The 26,468-nt window shown below is 39.6% G+C and overlaps 1 protein-coding gene across 1 annotated transcript in view, besides 2 other annotated features; it reads right to left on the bottom strand.

Moving 5' to 3' along the window:
• XKR4 (XK related 4) overlaps positions 1 to 26,468 on the bottom strand; it is a 440,027-nt gene that overhangs the window by 386,440 nt on the left and 27,119 nt on the right. The gene's annotated exons all lie outside the window — the stretch shown is intronic.
• Positions 13,141 to 13,640: an enhancer, noted in NCBI's record as "H3K4me1 hESC enhancer chr8:56054535-56055034 (GRCh37/hg19 assembly coordinates)". NCBI's record gives its function as "activates a minimal SCP1, AML or CMV promoter by ChIP-STARR-seq in naive H9 embryonic stem cells {active_cell/tissue: H9 hESC(naive)}" and the evidence as "EXISTENCE:reporter gene assay evidence [ECO:0000049][PMID:30033119]".
• Positions 13,641 to 14,142: an enhancer, noted in NCBI's record as "H3K4me1 hESC enhancer chr8:56054033-56054534 (GRCh37/hg19 assembly coordinates)". NCBI's record gives its function as "activates a minimal SCP1, AML or CMV promoter by ChIP-STARR-seq in naive H9 embryonic stem cells {active_cell/tissue: H9 hESC(naive)}" and the evidence as "EXISTENCE:reporter gene assay evidence [ECO:0000049][PMID:30033119]".

Here is a 26,468-nt window from a genome sequence, read left to right as displayed (position 1 = left end):
GTTCTACTTTCTAGGAAATTCATTAACTTCTTCCAAATCCTCGACTTCTTTTTTTTTTTTTCACACTTCTACCTTATCTTAAATTCCCAAGAGCACTTTATTATTTTCTGACGTTCCTGTTTTTACAACATCCTGTTATTTTACATCATATGTAATATCTTTTAAAATGTATATCTATTTTGAAATCTTCTACTCCCATATTATGTTATTTCTAATAATTCTTTCATTTTTTAATTTGTTCTGGTCTGTGCTTCGCATCGAGGATGTTCTACCTTCTGGTCATCGTTAGCTGTCTGCTCACATTGAAGAGTATGTGGTTGTATTTTCACCAGCGTTGTTCATTTTCTTCTGAAAAGGATGAGGGGTACACAGCTGCTGCAGCTGTCTGGGAGCAGCAATGTGGGAAGAGGGCAGGGATCTTGGAGATCAGCGCGCAGCATTATATTCAATGTGTTTTCAGACTGACACCTCAAACCCTACTCTGTTTTGGACTCATGTCCAAAGCCTCTGAATCAATTTCTCTAGAGAATCAACTTCTGGTCTGCAGAAAGGGTGAAGAAGAGAAGTCATCTGTTTTCCTGGGATGGAGGAAAGAGCTCCTTGAACTGCTACAAAGACCCATGTGCCCATTCTGCCATGTTTATACTGACGTTCCCTGATTTGGTCCTCACGTCGTACACCAGCGACATTTTATGGGCTGTGTGAATATAAATTTTATAGTGATCCTTCCCAGTCAATACATACTCCCAAATCTCTATTTAATTGACTTATTTCTCTTCTCAATAAACAAGCTGATTTTAATTAATTATAACCACTTTCTATGAACACTTTTTAAGTGAATTTAGGCTATTTGCAGCTGCTAATAACCTAATGATGGGAATGAGCTTCTTGTCTCTATTAAAGTGCAGGGTTGTGATAAATAGGTCTCTGGCCCCAGTATATCTCCCTGGAAAGCTTTTCAGAGGATTTTGCCCAGTACCAAGAATATACAAAGAATGTTGTCAAAGTCTAAAGCCCAGGAAAGGCAAATGGGTGCAGGTTAACTGTCTCCTATCCAACATTGGACATGGTTTGGTGGAATCTAATAACTGATGTCACTGGCATTAAGTACATTTTTCTTGGGAATATTTAACTTTTAAAAACTAAGTAAAAGTAGAAAATTAAATTTAAATAGAAAATGTTCTCTAAATAAGAATATCAACTCTCGCTAGGCTTCAAGTTTGTAAAACATATGATTGATATTATATGGAAAGCATCACAACACAAGAACGATGTGAGCCTTTTTCAAACAGCTTTCTCAAAATTTTATTTGTATAGAGGCTCAAAACTATAACTTAAATTGTCATATATAGCATAACATTTTTCAACTTTTTAAGGATTACAATAAAAGCATCCCCTGAAATAATTATTGAATTAGTAACAGATTCCGAAAACAGATTTGCAAATCCAAGAATGTGTTAAGATCAGAAATGCTACTAATCTTCCCTATGTATATAGGGAGAGGAATTCAATCTTCTTTCCTGTCATTAAGAGTCCTAAATGCAATCAATGGGCCATATACTCTCTAATCTGTGCCTGGAGCTGAAAGAAATGTCAATAGAAACTGTGTAGGAAGATCAAGAGCAATGAGTTTATCAATGTGTTTACTTTTCCTGGGAATACATCGCATCAAAATTATACTCTAAGCCAACATGCTTTATCAATTCCCCTCTATCTTTGATTTGCCTGTATGTCTAATATCTTCCTGCATTAACAAGTCTTGCTTTCTTTTTTCCAAGTGGATTCGCATAGTATCAAGAAAGCATGAGCATATCAGCTAGTGGCAGAGGAAATCTTTGATTTGTCTGTACCAAGCACTTGATCTCTGTCTCCATGCCCAGGAGGATATCAGCACTGGGCACTTAACAGTTAAGATTTGTCATCAAAGTAAGCCTTTCAAAGAGAAAGGAATTCTTCTTAATCCAAGCATGTTACTTTTGTATTGGAACTCTTAAGGCATATTCTCAGGGTTCATCACGTATCATAAAGTATGAAGAAACATGTGATTCAACTTGTCCCACATTGATTTTATTTTTATCATTGTAGTGGACACATATTTGTGAAGGTAGTTCTCCTAGAAACAGCAATGCTAATTTCCTCCTCTTCTTTTCTCTGGCAGGCTGAAATGTTGGTGTATATGTTCTTCGAAGGTCACAAGGTCATGGAATAGTCTTTGAATATTTTCTTCCATTAAGAGTCCAATGCTTTGAGAAATAACTAATTCATTCTCTCTTATATCTTCCCTCGGGAGAAAAACTAGAAGGTAAAAACACCAAAAATGTCTATTTTTTGATGTTTGCTCCAGCAAAAGCTTTTCTATAACTCAGTTGGACCAAGAATTGTTTGTAAGTTGAGTAAACACAAACAACTCGTCCAATTTTAAAACTGGGAGGCCCTCAAAAAAGGTCACCTTGATGCTAGAGTGTGTGTGTGGCAAGTGTGGACCTTGAGTCTGGATCATTCCCAAACAAGGAAGCACACTAAGGTCAACCCAGCGTGAGCCTGGATCCTCCTATGGGAGCTCCAGAAAGAACTAGTCCAATGACATCCCCTGGAATAGAAGCTATGGCCTCTAGTGCTTCTCCATTTTAACCCCAAAGCCCTGGGTTCATACTATAAAGAACAGGTACCAGACTTCAAGTTAGACCCTAGAGCTACACTGCATCATTTAATGCTCACACTTCACAGGTGAGTAATTGAGGTGCTAGCCATGAAGTAACTTGCCTAGGCTCAAATGTAGTTAAGGGATGAGCTTAAATTGGATTTCAGTATCTCAGTCCAAAACGTTATGTCATCTCCTATTATCTGAATACTGAAATGACTGAACTGTATTAGAGCAAAACAAATCAGTTGATTTTTTTCCCTCTACTTTTTAATCAGTTATCTTGGTGTTTCCAGCTTCACAAAGCATTAGTATTATCAGCTTTTCTCATTTTTTGTTTGGATGAGTACCATTGCTAGATTTGGTATATAATTTAAATTACATGAAAGTTGGAAAGAATCAATTAAAAAGTAATCAACCCTTTATAAGAATTAATAATTTAGAATGTAAATGACTGACCATTCATTTATCATTCTTTGAAGACAAAAAAATTTTCATAACCTGTGCATTATTTTCTTAATTTTTACCTCATTAATGGTTCTGTATAAAACCTGCCATTTTTCTGTAAAGCAAAGATATATGGTATATAATGAACATCTTATTGGATTTCAAATCAGGCCTTAAAACTCTCTGGAGAATCCTTTAAAATTACATAGAATCTATCATCTAACTTTAAACAGTATGGAAATGTAAAGATAATAAAACTATCAAAGCTAGTACCTCATTAACCTCTGGTGAATCTGATCTAGAGTCCTCTTTCATAAACATAGTTCATGTTAGAAGCACCTTATTTTGCTAATATTCCCTTTTCTTTGGAAGTTTTCTAGGTAAGGGTAATTTCAAAACTACTTTTCTTCTATTGGAAGGGTAGAAATTATTCTCATTTAAGTGGATCTTGCTGCTCTTAGAAAACGCAGATAAGATGGGCAATTTGCCATTATAAATCAGAAGCCTTAAAAATCCTCATATTGTCACCCAGCAATTACATTTCTAGGAATTTAATTTAATGAAATAAAAATACCAAGAAAGAAATACTTGCAAGATTCTTCATTGTATTTTGACAGTAAAGATAGTGACGATGTTAGGGAAATGGCTAAATTGGTCAAATAAATTTTGGTGAATTCACTCATTGGAATATTAATAAGGCATTAAAATAATGTTTTTGATAACTATTTAATGATATGAGGATAATGAAGTGTTAGTGAAAATAGTAGCATGCAATTCTGTAGACCTGTCTCTGTCTCTGCATTTCAATAGAAATACACAAAATTATTGATAGTGAGGGGAGCGCATACAGCAATTTAACATTTCTTTTTTCATGCCTTTCTAGATTTTTCAGTGTTTACAAGAAATATGTATTACTTTTATACTTATAAAAAACAATATATAAATGTTTCTTAAGTACACTCTACTATAATAGATTATGATAATCTATTTTTTGTCATATAGCTAGATATTTGTGCTGGGAATGCAGCATAATGCTTGAATTTCTATGTGCAGCTTATTCACTGATCATTTTGTAGTCATGTCATGTATGAGACAATGAGGAGAGACAGAAGTTTGCGGTACAATTGGCAGCATGTCTTATGCTTCAGATGAAGTTGGTGATAGAAATTCACCTTGTATTCCTGCTGTTTTTCCCATAGCCTCAGCTTCTTTTACTGTCAGTGTTAGATCAGATAATTGTTAAGGTCAGATAATGTCCTGTGAAGTTTGCTTGGCAGGCCAGAAATGAAAGTATAAATTCTAGATTTAACAAGATAGTGGTGCTATTCTTGTTCTTTAAATATTCGTATGTTGCTAATATTGCCTTAACTGTCTGGAGATGATTTGGGGTGTGTATTACCTATAGCTTGAGAGATGATAAATAAAAGACAATCTTACACTGACAAAAAGTACTAATACACTGCTGTTATTCAACTTCCTTTAAATACTGAGTGCAAGTTGAGTAATTGCCAAAATTAGAGATGGATTTCCAACCAATCATACCTTGGCTAAAGCATCTGTTTCTTAAAAAGGTTAGACGGAATGGTGCAGGGAGAAATGTTAGCTGTCTTGCTGACATAAATGTAGACAAATGTGTTCATTCACTCTCCATTCTTCCATATATGCCTTCTTTTTTTCCAATGACTTTTGGCACTTACTATGCACCAGTATTGTGGAGACCACCATGAGAAAGACACCATCATCTACCCATGGAGCTTGAACTTTACTGGGGTATAAAAACACATAAATGGCTGTGACATGTCATAAATGTTATATAAGAGATGCTTAGAAGGGGTTATGCATGTCCACACAAAAAAAATTGTCTGGTAACATCTGAACTGGATTTTCCAGGGTGAGGAGGAGTTTGCTGAGCAGAAAAAGGGAAGAAGGACGGACAGGTGCAGTTATAGGGAGCAGAGGGCCCTGGCAGGGTTCCGGGGGTGAGCTGAGGAATGGGAGAGTTATGAAGGGTCATGCACGACTTCCTAAGTATGAGTGATATCTTTACAAGAACCATACTATAATCGTTGCATGCTCAAATTATATTTTATCTACGTAGTCTGGAATAGTTAAATCTAACCCTCTGCTAACAACTTTCTTCCTCCTACTTTCTTCTTTAGCAACCCATATACTAAAACATACCAGCATCAGCCTGCAATAAATCTGCTGTGTTTTACTTATAAGCACAGATTTTAATGTAAACTGAACCAAAACAAGAAGAGAAAAAAATGGCACAGAAATACAGTTACAGTTACCTAGCAATGTTCAGTGTTTAAACTATTGCTCTGATTAACTTGAAGACCTAGTTATGTAGATCAACAACAATTTTAGCAAATAACCCATGAAATGGTGTTTATATAATCTTAGAGCAGTAATGCATAATCCAGGTAATATTGTCCCACATTTTACAGATGAAAAATAGAAGCTTTAGGCTGATTTGTCTGGGATGATACATCTAGGAGTAGAATGGCCAGTACTTGGATCTAAATCTTTGAGCTTGAAGAGCAGGTTTTCCCCTTGAACCGTGGTGCACCTTTGAAGGCAAGCCTTTCCAATATAAAGAATGTGTCAATATGGTTTCCCCTTGTATGGATTGGTTATCCATAAATAGCCAAGGCCCTCACTATGATTTTTGATAGGCAAGTTTCCTTAGATCCAGCACCACATGCTCCTAGGAAAGGTGCTCATGAGGTACATCTTAAGGCAGCACCTGCTTCTGCAATAGTTAACAAACAACTAGACTCAAATATATCAGCTAGTTTTTTCCTAATCCCAGCCTGCTGGCTGCTGTCCGGCTATGGGCTCAGCTAAGCTATAAATACTCCAAAGGCCAGAGCTTGGGGCATCTTCTGAAACGCTCTTCCCATTTGACAACCATTCTGAGAACGATCACCCTGTTAGTTATCAAAAACCATCCCCGTGCTGCCAAGAAACTCTGATGAACATTATGTAATGTATAAATTTAAACTTTTTCTCGATGCCAAAGGCTCCCCACCACCCCATCCAGGCCCACTTCTTTTCTTTTGTTTCTCTTGCTCTCCTACTTGTGTGTTTTAAGCCTTTCAAATGCATCATCTCCTGCTCCTGTCCCCACCCCGACCTCCCTTCAGATTCTCCTACGTCACAGCGTAAGGCAGCTCTAGTATTATATTTTTTCATGTTCCCTAGCACCTAGAAAAAGGGAGTCAACTGAAAGAGAGAACTAGTTGACTAAAGTAAATGATGGAAACAATTAGTTAGATAATATGAGGGACAATCAGGATAGCTGGATGGGTCTAGCAAGTTATAAAGAAGCCATAGACTCTCGAATGGCAGAGACACAGCCAGCAGCTCTGCTTGCAAGGCTCAGGCCAAGCCATGCTGCCCGTTATCCAAATACATTCATTACAAACTTGTTTCTAGGCAAAGATTAAATAGGGCTACACCTTAGAAGTAAAGGAAAAAAAAAAGTAAATGTGTTTCCTGAGCAGCATTTCTTCAATGTCATCTAATTAAGACATGGGTGCACTTGGCTTATTTGTACTTTTGTCTTCAATAACACTTTCATCCTCAAGTCTTTAATAATTCATAGTGGGGAAGCACCTCAGTAGGAAGAGAAACCCATTCTCTGCTAAGGACGCTTTCTGTGACAGAGCCAAGGAAGTCTGCAGTCCAGCTCTGGGAAATAAAACAACATCGACCTTAAAATAGATGCGCCAAATTTTAATTTCCACTTGAGCTAATTGACCACTTCATGGGTTTAGAGTTGGCTGTTAATTGTTTAAGGAAATAAAGAAAAGAAAAAAATCTTTAATTATTTCAAAGACAAATAATAAATTATAATCCTAAAGTAATTAAATCGGATAAAATATAACATGGTTTGCTGGGGAAAATAAAGAGGCCAGAATTTAAATACCTCATGCTCTGACATGCATTTTACATTATTTGACCCGATAACTTAACAATAACTGAAAAGAAAAAGCCCTCATTGCATTCTAGGTCTGAACATGAGGCACAGTCCTCATCAAGGAGATAGGGATTGGATTGTCATATTGTCATTTACTGGTCAACCTAAGCTATGGTATATATATATATATTTTTTTTTAGACAGGGTCTTCCTCTGTTACCCACACTGGAGTGCAGTGGTGTGATCTAGGATCACTGCAACCTCCGCCTCCTGGGTTCAAGTGATTCTTGTGCCTCAGCCTCCCAAGTAGCTGGGACTACAGGTGTGCACCACCACGCTCAGCTAATTTTTGTATTTTTAGTAGAGACGGGGTTACACCATGTTGTCCAGGCTGGAGCTATGGTAATTTTTAAGAAAAGGAAGCTATATGCCTTTGTGAAATGTTTCCATCTTAAAATTCAGATATCAGAGCTCTGTATTTATGGAACCACTTGAGCACTCGGTGTTCATGCATTTTTTGCAATTTTGTAAAATGGACCAGTGCACTTGTAATTCAATGCCACCTCCTTTTTTTACAGGTTAGAGAAATGAGGAATGAGAGACCAAGGCCACCAGAAGTCCCAGCCCCTGTCCCCACTGAGAGTCCAAGAGTCTTGTCCCCCAGAGACAGAGACAGCTATGGATCCATAAAGAACAGACATCTTGGCTCACAGATGTCATAGCCTTCTTTTTCTTGGTTTATGTCATTCATCTGGTTACATTTTTCTCTTTTGGCACAATGTCATATTTGTGATGGACAATCATAAAATGGACAAAATAGGCCCACAGGACCAAAGCTTCAAAGATGAGATTTTACTTCTCGTGCATCATTGGTAATTTATGGGCCTGCCATCACATGCATCCATTCATAGAAATTCTCCCCAAATCTCGATGCCAGTGCTCTAATACGCACTACATTTCAAGCCAAAGAGACAGATTTAGAGGCCTGGGAAAGGGACAAGCAGGCCACAAGCCTCTTGCCTCCTCGGACAGGAACTACCCCACCAGGAGGCAAGGAGGCCCCTCAAAAGCATGTGAACTAGAATCTGAATCATGAGCTTCAGCACAAAATAGTTTGTGCTTCATAATTAAAAGGCATAATTACTGAAAGAGGTTATTAGCTCTCCTCCCTAAGTGTCTTTAAAAATAGGAGAGACTTTCCTCTCTTTAATGTGATTTCAGCATTCTCAGCTCACTCTTGAGGCTGGTCCACCTAAGTGGCCCAAGGCTTTCCCAATCTCTTGCTTATGGCTACTGGCTGTTGTATTAACTGACAGTTCACATTTTCTGTTATTTTCTGAAGAGTTATTTTTTTTCTAAGTAAAGCTTTCCTTTCTTTTGTTTGAGTCACAGCACATGTTAATTGAAGCTTGATTTTCTTATATACCTGTTTCTCACATTTACTGGAATAAAATACACTGAAAAACAAATGCTTGACTTTAAAGATCTCCAGAACCTATTTTAGTGATAAGTATGAATATGTTGAATACTGTGACCTATCATATCATATGGCCTTTGGCTTTAATAAAGTGCCCAAATTATTTTCAAAAACAGCATTTCATTGTGTTGGATATTGCATGGCTTCCCTTCTGTGGAATGATTACCTCTAAACTGCAACATCGGCTGCTATGTGCATCTCTCCAGAAGGGAGCTCCAGCGTGGGCAGAAGCAGCTGCCCCCTCCCCTACCCAAAGGGCATCTGTATCAAGGGACAGCAGAAGGTGGTACATCCCTGAAGCTGGGCCAGTCCCACCTTTCATTTGCACTGCCCACACCCTATTTCTTCCTAAAAACGTTTCACCTTGAGAAATTAAAAAGCAAATGCCCTCAGTGAAAATATTTGGGGTCTTTGACCCAGACAGCAGAGCAAAAAATTATTTTAAGCCCCTTTAAAAGACATGAAAAAGATACAGTTTCCTCCAGCATGTTGTGTCCAATACAGTAGCCACTAGCCACATGTGACTATTTACATTTAAGTGAGTTAAAATTAAAAATTCAATTTCTCAATCACAATTGCCACGTTGCCACATTTCAAGTGTGCAAATAGACACATGTCAGACAGCACAGACACAGATCAGTTCTATCACTGCAGAAAGTTCTGCAGTGGAAAGCACTCTTCTAGAAAATATGGTACTTTGTAAAAGAATGGTATTTGTCATGGTGGAAACTAATTTCCACCTCATTATACTTATATGTAAGAACATTCTTTTAGAAAGTCTTTCCTTAACTTCTTGGAAAACAGGTCCCTTCTTGTCCCCAACTCTGAACAGTCCTTCCCGTCAGTCATCTCTGCCAAGCTCATGTCAGCGGTTTAGGAAGGTTCCCAGGCAGTCTCGGCTTTTCTTTGGTAATTTCAAGCTTGATTTTAAAGTAGGTAAGGAACACATCTTTCAGACCTCTTAGAACACTAGTAGTCAAGTCAAATTATGAAACATAAAAGGTATAGCAAAAATAGTGTGGCCTTAGATCACATTTCATGTTCTATGATGACTCAGGTTACAATGTCATTTCATAATTCCCATTTGCAAAGCATCAGTTTTCCTTCACATCTCACCCAATCAATAAACATAAGCCAAAGATAATGTCTACATTACCACATGAACCTAAAACATTTTTTCCAAATCAAAATGAGTGATATGTCTTTACTTCACAGATAGATCTGTTTCCAAACATGAAACCACTCAAATCTCCCCATGAGATACTGGAGTGAACTGGCGGGCTGCTATGCATTCATTTTGCATCTACTGCACACAAAATTTATGAGATGAAAAGATGTAAACAGATAGCTCTTGTTCTTAAGGACAATAGAAATGTACTTTCATGAGCATACATGTAATTAGAGAAGTTTATTTCAAAATCCAGACTATTTAAATCTCTTTTAGGTTCTTGAATAGCAAATAAAACAGCTTGAGTTAAAAAGTATGTATATATTGCAACTATTCAAAAAGTTGCAAAAATATTTGGATCATTTTGATGCGCTGTAGATGCCATCTCACATTTTGTATAAATCGGCCAGATATTGGACACTCTCTCCAGTGCCCCAAATTATGCCAAATATTTCTGGGAGGAGGAGCACTACAGAATGAATCTAAAACATTGCAATCCTCTTAGGGAAATTACATTTTTTTTTTTGAGAAAAAATTTTAGGTATTAACTGTAGTGGCAGTGATTTTAAATACACTCTGTTCAGAAAAAGAATAAATCAATGTATACTGAAGTATTAAGAATGGCTTCATAGGTGGAGTAGAATGTCAGAGGAGCATTCAAGAAGAGAAGGACATGGAGTAGATGTCTGCAGAGCGTGTGAGTGGATTAAAATGTTTAAATGACCAACGTGATGACCACAGGAATGAGTAGGCGTGTTCTATGAAGGGGTGATCCAATCTGCCTGCAGAAGTACATGTTGGGGAGAATAAAAAATAGTGGTACTAGGCCAGGTGTGGTGGCTCACACCTATAATCCCAGCACTTTGAGAGCCCAAGGCGGGCGGATCCCTGGAGGCCGGGGGTTTGAGACCAGCTTGGCCAACATGATGAAACTCTGTTTCTACTAAAAATACAAAAATCAGTCGGGCATGGTGGCAGGCACCCACAATCCCAGCTACTTGGGAGGCTGAGGCAGGAGAATCGCTTGAACCCTGGAGGTGGTGGTTGCAGTGAGCCAAGATTGCGCCACTGCACTCCAGCCTGGGTGACAATGGGAAATTCTGTCTCAAAAAATAATAATAAAATAAAATAAAATAAAATAAAATAAAATAGTGGTAATACTGTGAATAGGGAGGGTGGCCTAGCTTCCCATGTCAGGACTGTTGGGATTATGTGAATGCATTTAAGGCATCTTACACAGGGCAGAGCTCAAACAGGCAGCTCGAGAACCACACTTCACATACCGAACCTCTTTTTTATGTTGTTTTGTTTTGTCTATGACTTACAAGTTTTATCCAAAAAAAATTGGATTAGATGCCAAAATTTAAATATCAGGAAATTTCACAGAAAAATCTGGCTTTCCAATTTCTTTTGAAAAATTGGAAGATCTAACAGCACTAGGCCAAAATCCATCATGGCAACGGTTGCCTGGAGCTGAATAGCTGCAGACGGCTCTCTTTAAATGGGTTTTCCCTGGGTTTCAAGCACTATTTCTAGGTGGGCTTGTGCTGTTGGCTTTCTTATTATAGAATTTTTTTTTTAAAGTAAATTTTTTTTGTTTTCCATACAGACTTTGTCAAATCAGGAAATGAAACCCAGACCAAGACATCCCTGGGTTTCAATGAAAATTAAAGAAAGCATAATTCTCTAGATGTTTAACATTGCAAAGGCCATTATCTGGCCTTTACACATTTGCATTACCAGGTCCCCTAGGGATTTGGGTGTGAAACTCCTGTTAAATAATATTGACAAGAAGAGATGCAAAATGAATGTGTTGTTTTATAAAGACTAATCTGATCAGAAATAGGCTGAGATAGATTAGAGAGGGCAGAAGTTATAAATGAGGAACCTAGCCAAAAGTCTGCTGCGATAATTCAGCTCTGAAGTAATGAGGATTTGAATTAGGGGAGAAGTAATAAAAAGCAGAGAGAAAGGGGCCAAGTTGTTGTAAATGATAGATTACCTGTTAGAGATAGAAGTCTGGTAAGAGCCAAAATTCACTCCAGCAAAATTACTGTGTGTAGAGATTTGGTTTTCCACTAAGGGGAGGCTCCTACGCCACAAGGCTCTTTGCTGTATTTACCGGAAATTCGCACATTGCTTAGTGTACTGACATGCCCGCAGAAGAACCCACACTTGTCTGTAGAATTGAATAACAAAGAAAAGCACATGGGTCATTCTTGGGACTTGGAGGCACATCCTTTCCTGACTGTCCTTCATGTTGTGACTACGGGCACACCACCAAGTGTGTGTGTTTCATATCTCAGTGTCCTATAAGACCTTGATGGCCCCTTTTAATCGAAAAATTATAATCTCTTCTGTGCCATTTCCTTCTCTGAATAATGATTCCTTTTCTTCTAGAAGTAGAAAAAATGTAGTTATTGCATTACACAGATGTTGGCTCTTTTGGGGAAAATCAAAATTTTATCAGAAGTTAGATAATTTTTTATACTTTTAAATCATTATTAAGAGGTAAAACAACATAAAGAATTATGTTAGCTCTTTTGGGAAAAATCAAAATTTTATCAGATGTGAGATAATTTTTTATACTTTAAAATCATTATTAAAAGGCAAAACAACTTGAAAAATTATTGGGCAGTGTCTGCACATACACACTTTAGGACCCAGCAGTTCCACTCCCAAGTATATACCCAGAGAAATGTGTGCATGTGTTCAACAAAGAAATGCATTCAAATGATCAGAGCAGCACTGTTTTTAACAGCCCAAATTGGAAATAAATTTCTAAACATGAAGCAATAATAGAGTGATTTGGCAAATCTGCAAGATGGAATACTACACAGCAATGAGAATAAGTGAACCATAACAACGTACAACAGGAATGTGTCTCTTCAGTTCAACTTTGAGTGAAAGAAGTCAGACAAAAATGAATATATCTTGTATAATACCATTCATGTGAAGCTAAAAAAAAAAGGCAAATGAATTCAGAGTATTAGAAGCCATGCTCATGGTCACCCACAAGGGACCGCTGCCTAGCAGGGGCATCAAAGGGGCCTTCAGGCGCTGCTCCTTCGTCCACATGCTGGTGATATGAGAGGGTTCATTCTGTAGATGCTCCTGGAGCTGCATTTCACTGTGTTTGTTTGTGCACGTATGTTACACATCACGCATACATGCAATAAAAGCTTACTAAACAGCAACAATGACAGCCACAGAAAATGTCAGTCCCAATTGTTTAGCTTCAAAGTCTAGAAGATTGCTGGATTTATTTACCAAAACTGGAAATTTTTTTTTAAAGTTTATTGAGTACTAAGAATTAATACACTTTTGGTCCCACTTTGTTATTTCTTGTGTTTAGATTTCTAGAGGTCAACTTTCCAAATCTAAGCTATGGTACACTTGAAATAAAAAGTTTTAAAATATAATTGAGTAAGCATTTATATTTTAAAATATAGAAATCTCTTCATTTTGAACATGTTCTTGGCCTGCATGTGGTTTGGAGGCCCTGGGGCCTGCTTTTCAGGAGGACCTGGGAGGATCAAGTGGGCCACAGACAACTTAAGGAGCGCCAACGGGTTGCCAAGAGGCAGGACAGACCGTTAATCAGGATGAGGAAGTAGGAAAGAGGGCAGGCAGCCAGTACTCTGAAGAGACCAGTGTGTACTATACCCTTTCCTTATCCAGGAGAATGGCAACTTCTCCTACGAGGAGAGGTCTAAGAGCAAGTTTCAATGACATGAAGTTCTGCCGTTTGACCAGCAGATCAGCAGGAGAAGACAAAGCGCTCAGGAGAGCAGCAGTGAGGCCAGTGGGCTCCCTGTGGGGGAAAGAATGGAGGTAGGGAGGAGAGAATAGTTAAGACTCCCCAGCAGCCCAGAAAGTCACCAGGGAGGCTGCAAGGCTGTTGGGGGTGGCAGGGCTCTGAGTTCAGCCCTCAGTCTCTTAAGCCAGCCCAGAGATGGCTTTATCACCCCTGGAAATAGAGAGGCGGGGCCTGGGGAAGGGTCTGCTCTGAACCCTGCAGGCGTGTGGCTCCCACTTGGAGGTAGAGCTCCTGCGGACTATGCAGTGAGCACGGGACCCCCCACCCCTCTATGCCCCTTAGAGCTGCTTGATTCAAAGCCCCAATTCAGTCCAAGTCAACTCATTTTCTTTTCTGGGAGCTTATAATTGAGATTCAGGGATTTGAATCTGTGTCAAGCTGTTTTAGGGACTATTACTTATGGACTGGGAGGAAGAGGACCAGAAGACGCCAGTCCACAGAGAGAGACACACACACACACACACAGAGAGAGAGAGAGAGAGAGAGAGAGAAGCAGAAGCACCAAGAGAGACAGAAAGTAGAGCTCAGGCCCACTCGGATGCAGAGGGTGACGAGAATCAACCCCCACTGCCAAGTCCCTGCACTGGGGTTCCCCTGGCCTTCCCCCACTCTTCTCTCCTTTGATTGCATCGGTTTTCATAGGTTTCTGACTCGTGTGACCCTAAAGTCCCTGAGGAAGATGGGATTTGGGGCCCCAGTAGAGACGGAAGGTGAGGAGGAGGAGGGCAGAGGAGAAATCCGACCTCCCCACTGTGGCCCACAGCGATGCCAGAGCGGCCACAGTTGAGGGGCACGGGAGGGACAGGACACAGGGGAAGAGAAGAAGAATACCTCCAGGAGATGCGTCTGGAGAGGGGGCTGGAGGCAGAGGAGGAGGGAGGCGGTCCTGCGACAGCCAGGCTGCTAGGCAGGGCGGTCCCAGTGCGGAGTTTAAAATAAAATGTTTGCCGCACAATTTATAGAAATAGAAAGATTAGTGGTTGCTTAGGGCTGGGAAGGCGTGGGTGGGAGGGGAATGGGGACTGATTGCTAATGGGTACAGAGTTTCTTCTGTGGGGTACAAAAGTGTTACAAAATTGATTGTGGTGATGTTTTCACACGCAGTGGACATACTAAAAGTACTGAAATGTACACTTTAAATTGGTGAATTGTGTGGTATGTGAGTTATATTTCAATAAAACTGTTTATTAAAAAATGCTTGTCACAACACAATAAAAATGGACAAATGAACATCTACAGTTCATCTGAAAGGTCTCTCAGACAGCCTAATGATCCTAGTTTTATTTTCTTAGTTGACAGAGATTACTCTTCTAAAAATAGGCCACAGTTGATGGGCAAGGCGCCCTTCATCACCAAGCTGAGGTCCTGCCTCAAGCATAACGCAGGATGGGCCCACGAATCCACAGCCAGCCCAGGGCCAAGCACCCTCAGGCCATGCTCTGGGAGCTGCTGGAGCAACACTCCAGACATCTGATACACCAGACATCCCTGCAGGCATAAGCTTATGTCCATTCCAATATGAACAACAACAAACTCAGAAGTTGAAAACCCCAGAGCAATGCATTTTCTAGCCCACCTTTTATTAGCGAAGAATAACTGCATCATGGTGTTGGTAAGAGCCTGGGGAACTGTGCCCTAAGCTCTTGGGCTGAAGCCATTCCTTAAACTGAGATCTGCAGGCACTGAGACCCCTGTGGGACCCCAGCAACAGGAGCATCTTGTCATGAGCAAAATGAAGAAGTTTCTCTGTCACATGTGGCATCAGGAGACAAAAGTCTTAAACAGTGTGTGAACAAACGAATGGACCCAAACACAAAGTTTTCACAGACTTCCATGAACACCACATTCCTGAATTGTCACACTTCCCTTCCTAAGAGTTAAAATGGAATCTATGATTTGAAACTAATCATTATTTATTAGAGTCTGCAGATGGAACTCACCTTTGAGATAAATAAAGAAGAAAAGACACTCAGTCAAGATACCAACCCAGGAATAACTGAGGGAGAATTTTCATCTAAAAGAAATTCACCTGGTAAACTCTTAAGAGGTACTGTTTTTCTAATTTAATAAATAAAATAGGATGAGAATCTTTCTCAGTAAGAGTCTCAATTTTTGGTACCTTAGAAATTAACTGTTAGCTAATTAAAGTGGAAAAGCAATGATTTGTAAATATATTAATTACATAAAACTTGGTAAATTAAGGATATGTGCTTAATGGTGTACATATTTAATTAAGTAAAAAGGTTTTATCATTGTTTTTTATTGATGAGGATGAGATAAATAATAGCTAAGCATTCCTAAATACTCTCTGCCAGGCATACTTTAAATACATCTGCTGGTGAAATGCTCACACAAACCTTTTGAGGCAGCAATCATCATTACTCCCATTTTGCAAATGAGGAATTGGATGTTTCAGGAGTTCAGTATTCTCTCAAAGAAATTAAGCATTGTTAAAAAAAAAAACAGCTACTATTCTCTTTTTAACATTACATGTCTGCTTTTCAAGATCTTCATTCTGAATACGGCATTGATGTCAAGGATGTTCTCTGAGTCATCTGTTTTAGGAGAACCCTATTTCCGTTAGGGCCAAAGGTGCTAAGCCAGCACTCTTTTTTTTTTTTTTTGAGACGGAGTCTTGCTCTGTCACCCAGCCTGGAGTACAGTGGCTCACTAAAAGTTTCAAGCAATCCTCCTGCCTCAGCCTCCCAAGTAGCTGGGATTACCGGGGCCTGCCGCCACCGCATCCAGATAATTTTTGTATTTTTAGTAGAGATAGGGTTTTACCATGTTGGCCAGGCTGGTCTTGAACTCCTGACCTCATGATCCACCTGCCCTGGCCTCCCAAAATGCTGGGATTAGAGGCATGAGCCACTGCACCCGGCCTAAGCCAGCACTTCTTACATTTCCTTATTGCAAGTCCCTTCTCATCAGCACGTGGGATCCCCCTGGGACAAATATGGGACTGATATTACTGCCCCCTTTTTAATAGGATGAAACAGAGTTTGAAGCCAGACAGCTGTAGGAGAATTCAAATTTGAGTTTATAGAATCTTGTCCCAATATGAAAAAAATATACACAGGTACCATGTACACTTTCACTCCTTACTGTGCACAGATTAAGCACAGAATTTAAAGATCTCAGACAGACGAGCCACGTCATTTCTTACTTAAGGGTGGTCACTGAATCTGTGTTCTCAACCTTGATCCCTCCACTCTCTTCTAGGACTTAATTAGACAGTTATCTTCTCTCATCCCTGCATATTCAACTTAATCTTTTTACATGGGGTCCTTCATAACCAACATCAATTTACTCTCATCTCCAAAAAAATAAAAAGTGAGCAAAATGAAGCAAGCAAAAGAACCACCTCCCTCAACCCTGCATCTCCATCTAGAAACTCTATCACCTTCCCTTAGTACAGTGACCAGTGCATGGTAGACCCTCAACAATATTTGTTGAATAAATAAATGAGCTGAATGTAGGCCTCATTTCATAAAAAGAAACACAAATTGACAGTTACCTTTAATTAGAAGCACATCCCTTGCTTGGTGGCACTTAGCTTCAATTTTTAGACATCATGCTTTAGAAATATTTAAGTGCTCTTTAGCAACCACTGTTATATTAATATATTTCTAGAGCATCTAAGAAAGACTTCATTTGTATCTATTCTATTTTTTTCTGAGATGATTCTCTAAATACTTTCCTGTGAGCTGACTTTAAAAACTTCTCGCATTTCTCCACTTTGCCCAGCTCCTCTCTCTTTCCTCTTCCCAGAGCACATGCTCTTGGTTTCGTTATTGGAGGGGTAGAATAAATTGGGTTTTGGTATCAACAGATGATCCAAAAGCCTTGTGGCCTCCATTGACTTCAAGTTCTCCCTCACCTATTATCTCTCTTGAGCTGGCAAACTTACATAAATGAGCTAAATATCAATAAAGGAGTAACTGGTGAGACAGCCTGAGAACAAAAAAAAAGGAACCCTCTGGACTGAGCATGAACGGACATTTGCTTTGGAATTAGTCATCCCTCCTTGGTATACATTGTAGAACGCCAAAGTCATGGCGGGCTTCAAGAAGGTAATGAGACAGCTCCTTCACTGTGTGAGATTATTAATTAGACATGTAAAAACAGCCACACTTTCAAGATACCAGAACAATCTTTTTAATACAAATAATACAGTTGGGTGTGCCCTTTATACTAGATAATAAAGTTATTATTGTTACTATCCAAATTTTTCTTTCATTCCAAGGTTGGGTCTTTTATAATTTTCTGTGAAGGGCAAGCTCACATCTGTAATCCTAGCACTTTGGAAGGCCAAGGTGGGAGGATCACTTGAGATCAGGAGTTTGAGACCAGCCTGGGCAGAAGAATGAGACCTTGTTTCTACAAAAAAAATAAATAAATAAAAATTAGCCAGGTGTGGTGGCATGCACCTGTAGTCCCAGCTACTTGAGAGGTTGAAGCAGGAAGATCACTTGAGCCCAGGAGTTTGAGACTGCAGTGTGCCACTGCACTCCAGCCTGGGCAACAGAGCAAGCCCCTATTTCAAAAAAAAAAAAAAAAAAAAGTTCTCTTCTGTGAAGCATCTAAACCTCTTAACATTTTTAGCTTTGGGTTATAAGTTATTCAGATTATTAATTTCAGATATTTTTATATTTTCCTTTCCAATTATATAATAATCCCTAAAAGACCTTGAGGAAACCTGCTATTCTTTAGATTCCTCTTGGATTTAACTAAATGCCTTGATCACAGCAGGTGCTCAATATATAATAATTGACTGGTAAATAATGGACAATTGAGGTAATCACTTTAAAGGTAAATTTTAAAATCTTTAGGGAGAGGTTGAAAGGCCTCCAAGGAATTTCACAAGTTTTCTTTTTTTTTTCCCCTCCTCTCTCTACTCACATCCCTAACCCATTCCCACCTCCAACTTTCTTTTGACTTTGTAGAAGGTCTTCTAACCTTTTTTCTAGCAGATTATTGGGCTATCTTCCCAGGAGTTGACCTGGGAGTCTAGGAGATTACTAGACATAAAATGCTTACACTATAAGTTCAGCTCCAGAATCTAAAAACTATTGTTTTCAGAAATGTCTAACATTATCGGTTTTCTGGAGTTAAGGCCATATATTCATTCCAGTTCTGTCCTCAGCAGAGATAACAGGCACTTATTCATGCTATATTGTAATTAGCTCTCTCTCTATGCCTCAAAGATGGGTGCCTTTGAATGCTTTCTTTTTTACATATTCTTTTCTGGATATGCCAGTTGTTGTTAATTTAAAACTGTAATACATGTGGGAAGCCCAAGAGTGTTTTTTGGAAGTATTTTAAGAGCTAAAGTTGTTTAAACTTAAGCTAAAATGATTTAACAGACTTTCTCACTTTTTTTATATCTACCATTTTAAAGTCTCCATCACTAAAGAAGCATAACCAATTTGTTAAAACACATCAGGTTTACCCACAGTAAAAAGAGGATGTACAATTCATTTGTTATTAGGGAGCAAAAAAGATCGAAATCTATATGTTTTAACTCTTCCAATTATTATTGTTTGACTGCTGGCCAAGCTTTCTGATAACACAGTCATTAAAGGCATTTAGACTATTCGTGGAGCGTTGATATTATATTCAATACACTATTACCCACATACTACTACTTACTCAAAACTCTCATGTGCATAACAGTTTGCTGGTGTGAGGAAAAAAATTAAAGGATATGATCTTTGTTTAAAATGCTTAAAAAGCAGTCATGAAACTGAGGAAATACTTGAAGAGTCATTCATTCAACCCCAAGTATTTGTCAAGTTGAGACTGTTCTCTGTGAAGGAAGTGCATCTGCTGCTGCCAAAATAATTCCCTGCTCACCCCAGGCACATCCAACAATGTGTCTTGATTATAAAATAATGGTGAGTATATTGTAAATTGTTTGCAGTAAAGACAAATTAGTGAGCATGGGCCAGGCACAGTGGCTCACACGTGTAATCCCAGCACTTTGGGAGGCGAAGGGGGGCGGATCACAAGGTCAGGAGATTGAGGCCAGCCTGGCCAACATGGTGAAACCCTGTTTCTACTAAAAATACAAAAATTAGCCAGGTATGGTGGTGTGCACCTGTAATCCCAGCTACTTGGGAGACTGAGGTGGGAGCATCACTTGAACCCGGGAGGCGGAGGTTGCAGTGAGCCAAGATCGTGCCACTGCACTCCAGCCTGGGGACAGAGCGAGACTCTGTCTCAAAAAAACAAAAAAAAAAAAAAAGTGAGCATGTTGAAAGGAAATCTCAGAGAAAAAGAAAATATTTATATCCAATGTTTTCTTCAGAGCTGTTCCACTTCCAAAGACCAGAGAGAGGAAGTGGTCAACATGCAGGAAGGGTGTGAGTGCACCGGCCTGCTGGGTCAGGGGTCAGGAAGGTGCCCAGAGGAGGTGTACAAGGTGTAATGGGCATAAACTGGAAAATCTCAGCTTTGACTTTACTCTCCCTGTTTTTTGAAGACTCCTCTATCCAGGGAGCCATCTGTCCTTGGCTTTTCCTCAGTAGACAGCTCCGATGACAGAGAAAGCAGAAAGCAATACAGAAAGCAATGGACATGTTGGACTGTGCTCCTTGTCATCAACTGAGGGAAAAGAGTTAACATTACAGATGGACAAAGAGTGAAGCCACCGATTCAGATATGATTTGGGGGGACCCTTAGATTTCATTCTTTCTGTCCCTATTCATACAACATCCAACAAATATATATTGCATATCTACTATGTATAAAGATCTGCTCTAAATAGAAGGATTACAACATAGTGGTTAAAGAGTGTAGGCTTTAGATAAGTGTTTTAAAAACTGTGCATCACAATTGATTTGTATAATCCATTTAGTATGTTATCATAAAAAAGAAATAATATAGAACAGAATATATTCAATTTAGAATATATTTGTATATATTAGGGTGGTGCAAATGTAATTGTGATTTTTGGCATTACTTTCAAGCCATGTATGTGTGTAGACTTACATGTATATTAGGTTGGTACAAATGTAATTGCGGCTTTTGCCATTACACTGTTTCTGAAATTTTTGTTTTTCCATTCATACATATATGTGTAGATACAGGTATGCATATATTTATCATATCTACCTCTACTGATTCAGACTGTAAAATGTATTTCCTACTATGCATGTTGTCAAAAAACTAAAAAAAAAAAAATCCAGCTTCTCCATTTACTAGCTCTGTGCCCTCAAAGTACTCTGTACCCCATATTCTCTGTCTGCTTATTAGGGCTTGGGTTGCGAGAATTAAATGACATCATCCACTGAATCTGCTCAATGTGGTGAACAGCACTCAGTATATGTGTGCATTTTAACAAAGGGTATAAGCTAAATGAAGTTTCACAAAACAACTTGCTTCATTTGGTGCAAGAGCCCACCAAGGCAGGGTTACAGATATTATTACTCCACATACAAATGAAGAAACTGCAACTCAGAGATTGTAACTTCCTCAGAGTCATGCAGCTAATAAATGGCAGTGATAAAGGCAGAAGCCAGGTCTTCTGACCACCCCATGTCTCTCTTCCCACTATGTAAGAGACACCCAGGAAAATGGAGCTCATTGCCATGCTGGGAAGAATGAACAGAGAGAGAGTGAATGCATGAATGAACGTAGTTAACATTATTTTGACTTTTTCTCTGCCTTCTTTTTTGTCCTTTCCTAGGTTTTACATGAAAGGAGCATTGGCACATGAATGTATACATCTCTTCTTTTTACATTTTGCTTTCTTTACCCTCACAAATTATATACAGGCTACTGTCATCTACATGAGCACACACAAATAGCTTCTCATAATCACATAAATATTTTTTGATAAATCAAATTAACTTTGAAAAACAGAAAAGAAAGGAAGGTCCCACTCCAAATAGCATCCACTACTCTGATCTTCACCTGCTTTCTCTTCTAGAATTTCGGGTGAGCTCAGCTGACCTGGGCAGTTGCCATTTGGGAGCAAATATTAATATATGGTAGATATAAATTTAGCATTGTGAGGACATGATTATTTTCTGTAATTAGCTGTTATAAACAGTCTTTACTTTGAAATTTAGTAATTAAAAACAATTGACAAATTGTTTTAGGAAAAAAAATCTGTCTGGAGAGAAAATTCTTCCAAATGATCTAAAAAGTTGAATTTGTGAATCTCCCCAGTCTCTATAGCTGTTATGGACGTTTTCACTTCTGAGCAATGCACAGCTGAGAAGCTTCTAACAATATTAACTTTGCTGTATTTCCCAGAATGTCAAAATATCTCATAAATTTTCATCTCCATTATTGGTGATTAAATATTCAGATAAAATTAAGTGCAATGTAATTCTCCCTGTCCATCTCTTTTAATTGATGACAGTTACTGAGGTGAGCAAATATCCTTCATTATGTATCAAAATACCTAATTAAGATTTCAGCAACTTTGGCTAGTTAGCACATTCTCAGTCTTCCTATGCAAACTATTGTTGTCATATTAATTCACACTACTTATATTCCCTAGGCTCTGGAGTGTTAACTTATTACTTGGTAATCGCCAGTATCAACCACTGCAAGAATCAGTCACTCTCACCTTATTCACAGACACGAGATACCTCAGCACCCAATTCCTATTCATGAAGCAGCATTTCATCCTAATCCATTAGACCAACCATTGAACTGAATCACACAGATGACATGCTTATTTCCAACAGAACCGAGTGTGTGGAATTTGATGGAAACTGCATGTGTGTGCCTTGGGTAGACTCACATGTCTTATGCATTGAAACCTATTTATCCACATTCCTGTGCAAGATGAGATGCATCCCTGCTGTTTCCAGGTCTTGGCCCAGCAGTTTTTAGCCAGAGCAGTTTAAAAAGTTTTCTTTCCAAACTCACACTTACCCTTTATTGTAGACTCTTAAAAATTTCTTGTGTATTCCACTATCTGCTTTTCCATAAGTTTGTGGCTGTTTTCCATTAATTGTTCGTATTTTTCTTGAACATGAATTTAGATAAATGAAATGAACAAGACAAACAAGGCCCCTTTTTGCTCAGGCAAAAATGCATTTCTCTCTCTTTCCTCTCATCTCCACCCCGCAAAGGTGTCCAAACCTCAGTCATCTTTCAAGGACCAACCTGGTCACATAGTCACTTGTCACCCACTGGCTCAACCCACCCTAGCCAGGACTAAGCTTACCTGATGATCATGTGCTTCCAGCTGTCCTCACAAATCGGAGAATGGCCCCCCATCACATGGCACAGGGAGCTGAGCACAGATGGGACACCCTGGTTTGAGTAACTCACCTGATCCTGGGCCTCGGACGCCCATTCCTTTTAGTAGAATTCTATTCTGAGAACATCCTGGATGCACCACTCCTCCTTTACACCCAGGCTTTCCCACTTAGGAACTCCTCACCAGGCAAGTACGTTAGGACCCAGCAGCCACACCACCTTGAAGTTAATGGTCTGACGAGCTCAATTTCTGACACGGGATTCTAGTGCAGAGGTTAATAATATGGCCCTGGAGTCAGGCACAGTAGTCTCTCCATATCTTCGGTTTCACTGTACATGGTTTCACTTACCTGTGGTACAGTACAGTAAGATATTTTGAGAGCCACAGAGAGAGATCACATTCACAACTTTTATTACAGTATATTGTTATAAATGTTTTATTTAATTTTTAGTTATTATTGTTAATCTCTTACAGTGGCTAATTTAAACTTTATCATAGGTATGTACATATAGGGAAAAACAGTATATATACGGTTTGGTACTATCCACACTTTCAAGGGGTCTTCAAGTGTATTCCTTGTGGATAAGGGGGGACAACTATACACATGGATTGGAAAATTAGCATTCCCTGTTAATTATATGATAGTGGGCAGGCCCCTTAACTTCTCTTTCAACCTCTTAGTAAAATGGAACAACAGTGCATATTCTGTAGTGACTGTGAGAATTAAAGGAGATCGTTAATGTGAAGCACACTGCCTGGTGCATGATACAAGCTCAATAAATTGAACCCATTGTTGTCAGGCCATGTTCCCAAACTCTGCCCATCTATAATGACTGCTGACTGCTGGTTACCTGGACATTCCCATGGCCTGACCAATGATCTGGTAGTGCCACACCCTTCGGGCTCTGCGCTACACCTGCCATATGAAACTGCTCCTCTAGGGCAGACATCTGATCATTTTATCCCCAGAATGGCTCTCATTAAGACTGTGCACAGGCCATGTGTAAACAGCATGCTCACTGTAACAAATATTAGGGAGGCTGGGCATGGTGGCCCAATGCCTGCAGTCCTGGCTATGCAGCTTTGGCTGCAGTGAGCTGTGATCATACCACTGCACTCCAGCCTGGACGGTAGAGCAATACTCTATCTCAAAAAAAAAAGAAAAGAAACAGAAAAAAGTTATGTTCAGATTGTCAGGGCTTTTACTTCCTTTACTGAACTCAATATCAAGAAGATGCTGGGATATCTTTTACAAAGGCCTTGTGATGAGCATGTCAATCGCGCACTGAGTTATTTAACTCCACTCAGTTCAGGGGATGCTAATGCGAGGCATCTAATGTGCTGAAGAGATTCAAACTGCAAGGCGAGAGGACTCTTATCTAGAAAGACAAAAGGATCTGGATCTTGAGAATAGGCAAGAGAGAAAGGAATGATTTCCCACTACACAAATAATTAGATGTATGCTCCACTGTGTAACAAAGTAATCATAGAAATGTTTCCACTTCATTCAGAGAAAGTAGAGAAGGCCTGTTAGAATGTGTTTAGAATGAGAAGGATCCCTGAAAAATGAACTTAAATGCAGGAGGAAAACCTTCCTGTTTTCTTTGAGGATCTCTAAAGTCAGGCTTCTCAAGTTTAAAGTGCATATGAATCACCTGAGGAACACATTAAAATGCAAAATCTGATTGTGATGTAATGGATTTGAGGCGTGGCTCAAGAGTCTGCATTTGTTGTTGTTGTTGTTGTTGTTTTTGAGACAGCCATTTCGCTCTTGTTGCCCAGGCTGGAGTGCAATGGTGTGATCTCAGCTCACCTCAACCTCCGCCTCCCGGGTTCAAGTGATTCTCCTGCCTCAGCCTCCTGAGTAGCTGGGATTACCGGCGTGCACCATCATGCCTGGCTAATTTTGTGTTTTTAGTAGAGATGGGGTTTCTCCACGTCGGTCAAGCTGGTCTCAAACTCCCGACCTCAGGTGATCCGCCCACCTTGGCCTCCCAAAGTGCTGGGATTACAGACGTGAGCCACCGCAAGAGTCTGCATTTCTAACAAGAAGGTGAGGTCAAACTTGGAGTAGCAAGGCCGTGAAAGGTCAATAGATTATGTTCAGATTGTCAGGGCTTTTACTTCCTTTACCAAAGAAACTTGTGTCATGTCCACACACACACACACGTGCACATATACACTACAACTTACATGAACCCCCTCATAGATAATGGGGGCCTAGTCATCTGGTCAACCTGACCTAACAGATTGGCATCTAGGAACACTGTGAAGGCAAAGCCAGGAACCAGGTGCACAGACATTGCAAACTGAGGCTCTGTCCAAAGGGGCTGGTATGAGGCAGATAGAGTAAATCTGAGTTTCCCAATTGCCCAAATTAAAATCCGAAGTCCTCACCTTGGCTGACAAGACTTCCAGGGCATGGCTCCCTGCTTGTCCCTCCTTCCTCCTCTGATGCCACTTGCTCCCTGTGCTCCAGGCACACAGCCCCTTTGCTTTTGTCACTGTACCAGGTGTGTTACTGCTACCTGGAATGCTCCTGTCTCAGGTTTCTGCATAGCTGACTTCCTCACTTGCTTCAGCTTTCTGCTCAAATGTCACCTTAGCAGAACACTCTGTATAAAATGGAACCCTTCTCCCTGTTCTCTTTTCCTTCTGCTTTATTACTTTTTTTGTAGCAGATAACACCTGACATATTACCTATTTATTAGCTTTTTTGAGTATATCTGTATTTCCTCTCTGGAATGTAAGTTGCTATATCTTTGATGCCAATAATAGTACCTGATATATCAAAACAGCTGATTGGAGCTGAAAAGTTTCTCTAGTCAGCTTATTATTCCATTCTCTTAAGTGATGATTTCAACCATCATTCCTTCAAACTTGTAATCCTGCTCTACCCACACCCCACACCTCCGCGGATAGCCTTGCCTCCTAATTCAAAGATAATGGAAGTGACCAGATGGACAGCAATCCCTGAATCTGCACCTGTCTCCTCCTTTCTCCACCCAACACAGACCATTTCTTCCACACGTGCTCTTAACACCGCTCCTCTCTGTGTCTCAGAAACCCTACAGGTAGAATAAAACTCAGTCTCCAGTATCATCCATGTCAATTTTAATCTTCCTCTCCCTCTCCCACCACCTCCCTCACCCTTTTCAACTATATTCAAACATGTTCCAGACTCTCTCATGTAAAATATAACAATAAGGCCCTAAAGAAAAAGTAAACTGAAGACTCCTACCTTCCTGGACCTATATTCCTCTCCATCCCCTCTTCTGGTCCTCAGGGTCAACTTTCTCACCCCGAGTCTGTCCACCACTCTCAAAAATCTGGCCTCTGCCACCACACTTCAGCAAAATGGCTCTTACTTGGGTTTCCATGTTACTAAATCCATTAAACAAGCCACAGTCAAGGAGTTAAGATCTACACAAATGAGGTCAAACTATTGCAGGTTAGTAAAGAGAATGGTTTGTAAAACTGAAATGTAACTGTAACCCCACCTCTCCTCATCAGGAGGTTCAGCTCAGAGTGCAAGGCAGTTTTACCTCCCGGCACCCGACCTGCAGGAGTGAGAACGGATAGGAGAATTTTTTTCATTGGAATTTGCCTACAGGAAAGAAGTCCTTTGAGGGCATTATTTCTTTGTCTTAGAAAATTCTTTTCTTGACTCAGAATATCGTATGGGTAACCAGCCTTGTAACCAGAAAGAAAAAACTATATTTTCCTCTAACCTGAAATCTTTGGGTTCTCTCTCCATTTTCAAAACT

The sequence above is a fragment of the Homo sapiens genome, chromosome 8, assembly GCF_000001405.40.
Source record: "Homo sapiens chromosome 8, GRCh38.p14 Primary Assembly".
In the NCBI taxonomy this organism is placed as follows: domain Eukaryota; kingdom Metazoa; phylum Chordata; class Mammalia; order Primates; family Hominidae; genus Homo; species Homo sapiens.
Note: the sequence above shows the minus strand (reverse complement) of the source record. Positions and strands in the feature narration are given on the sequence as shown.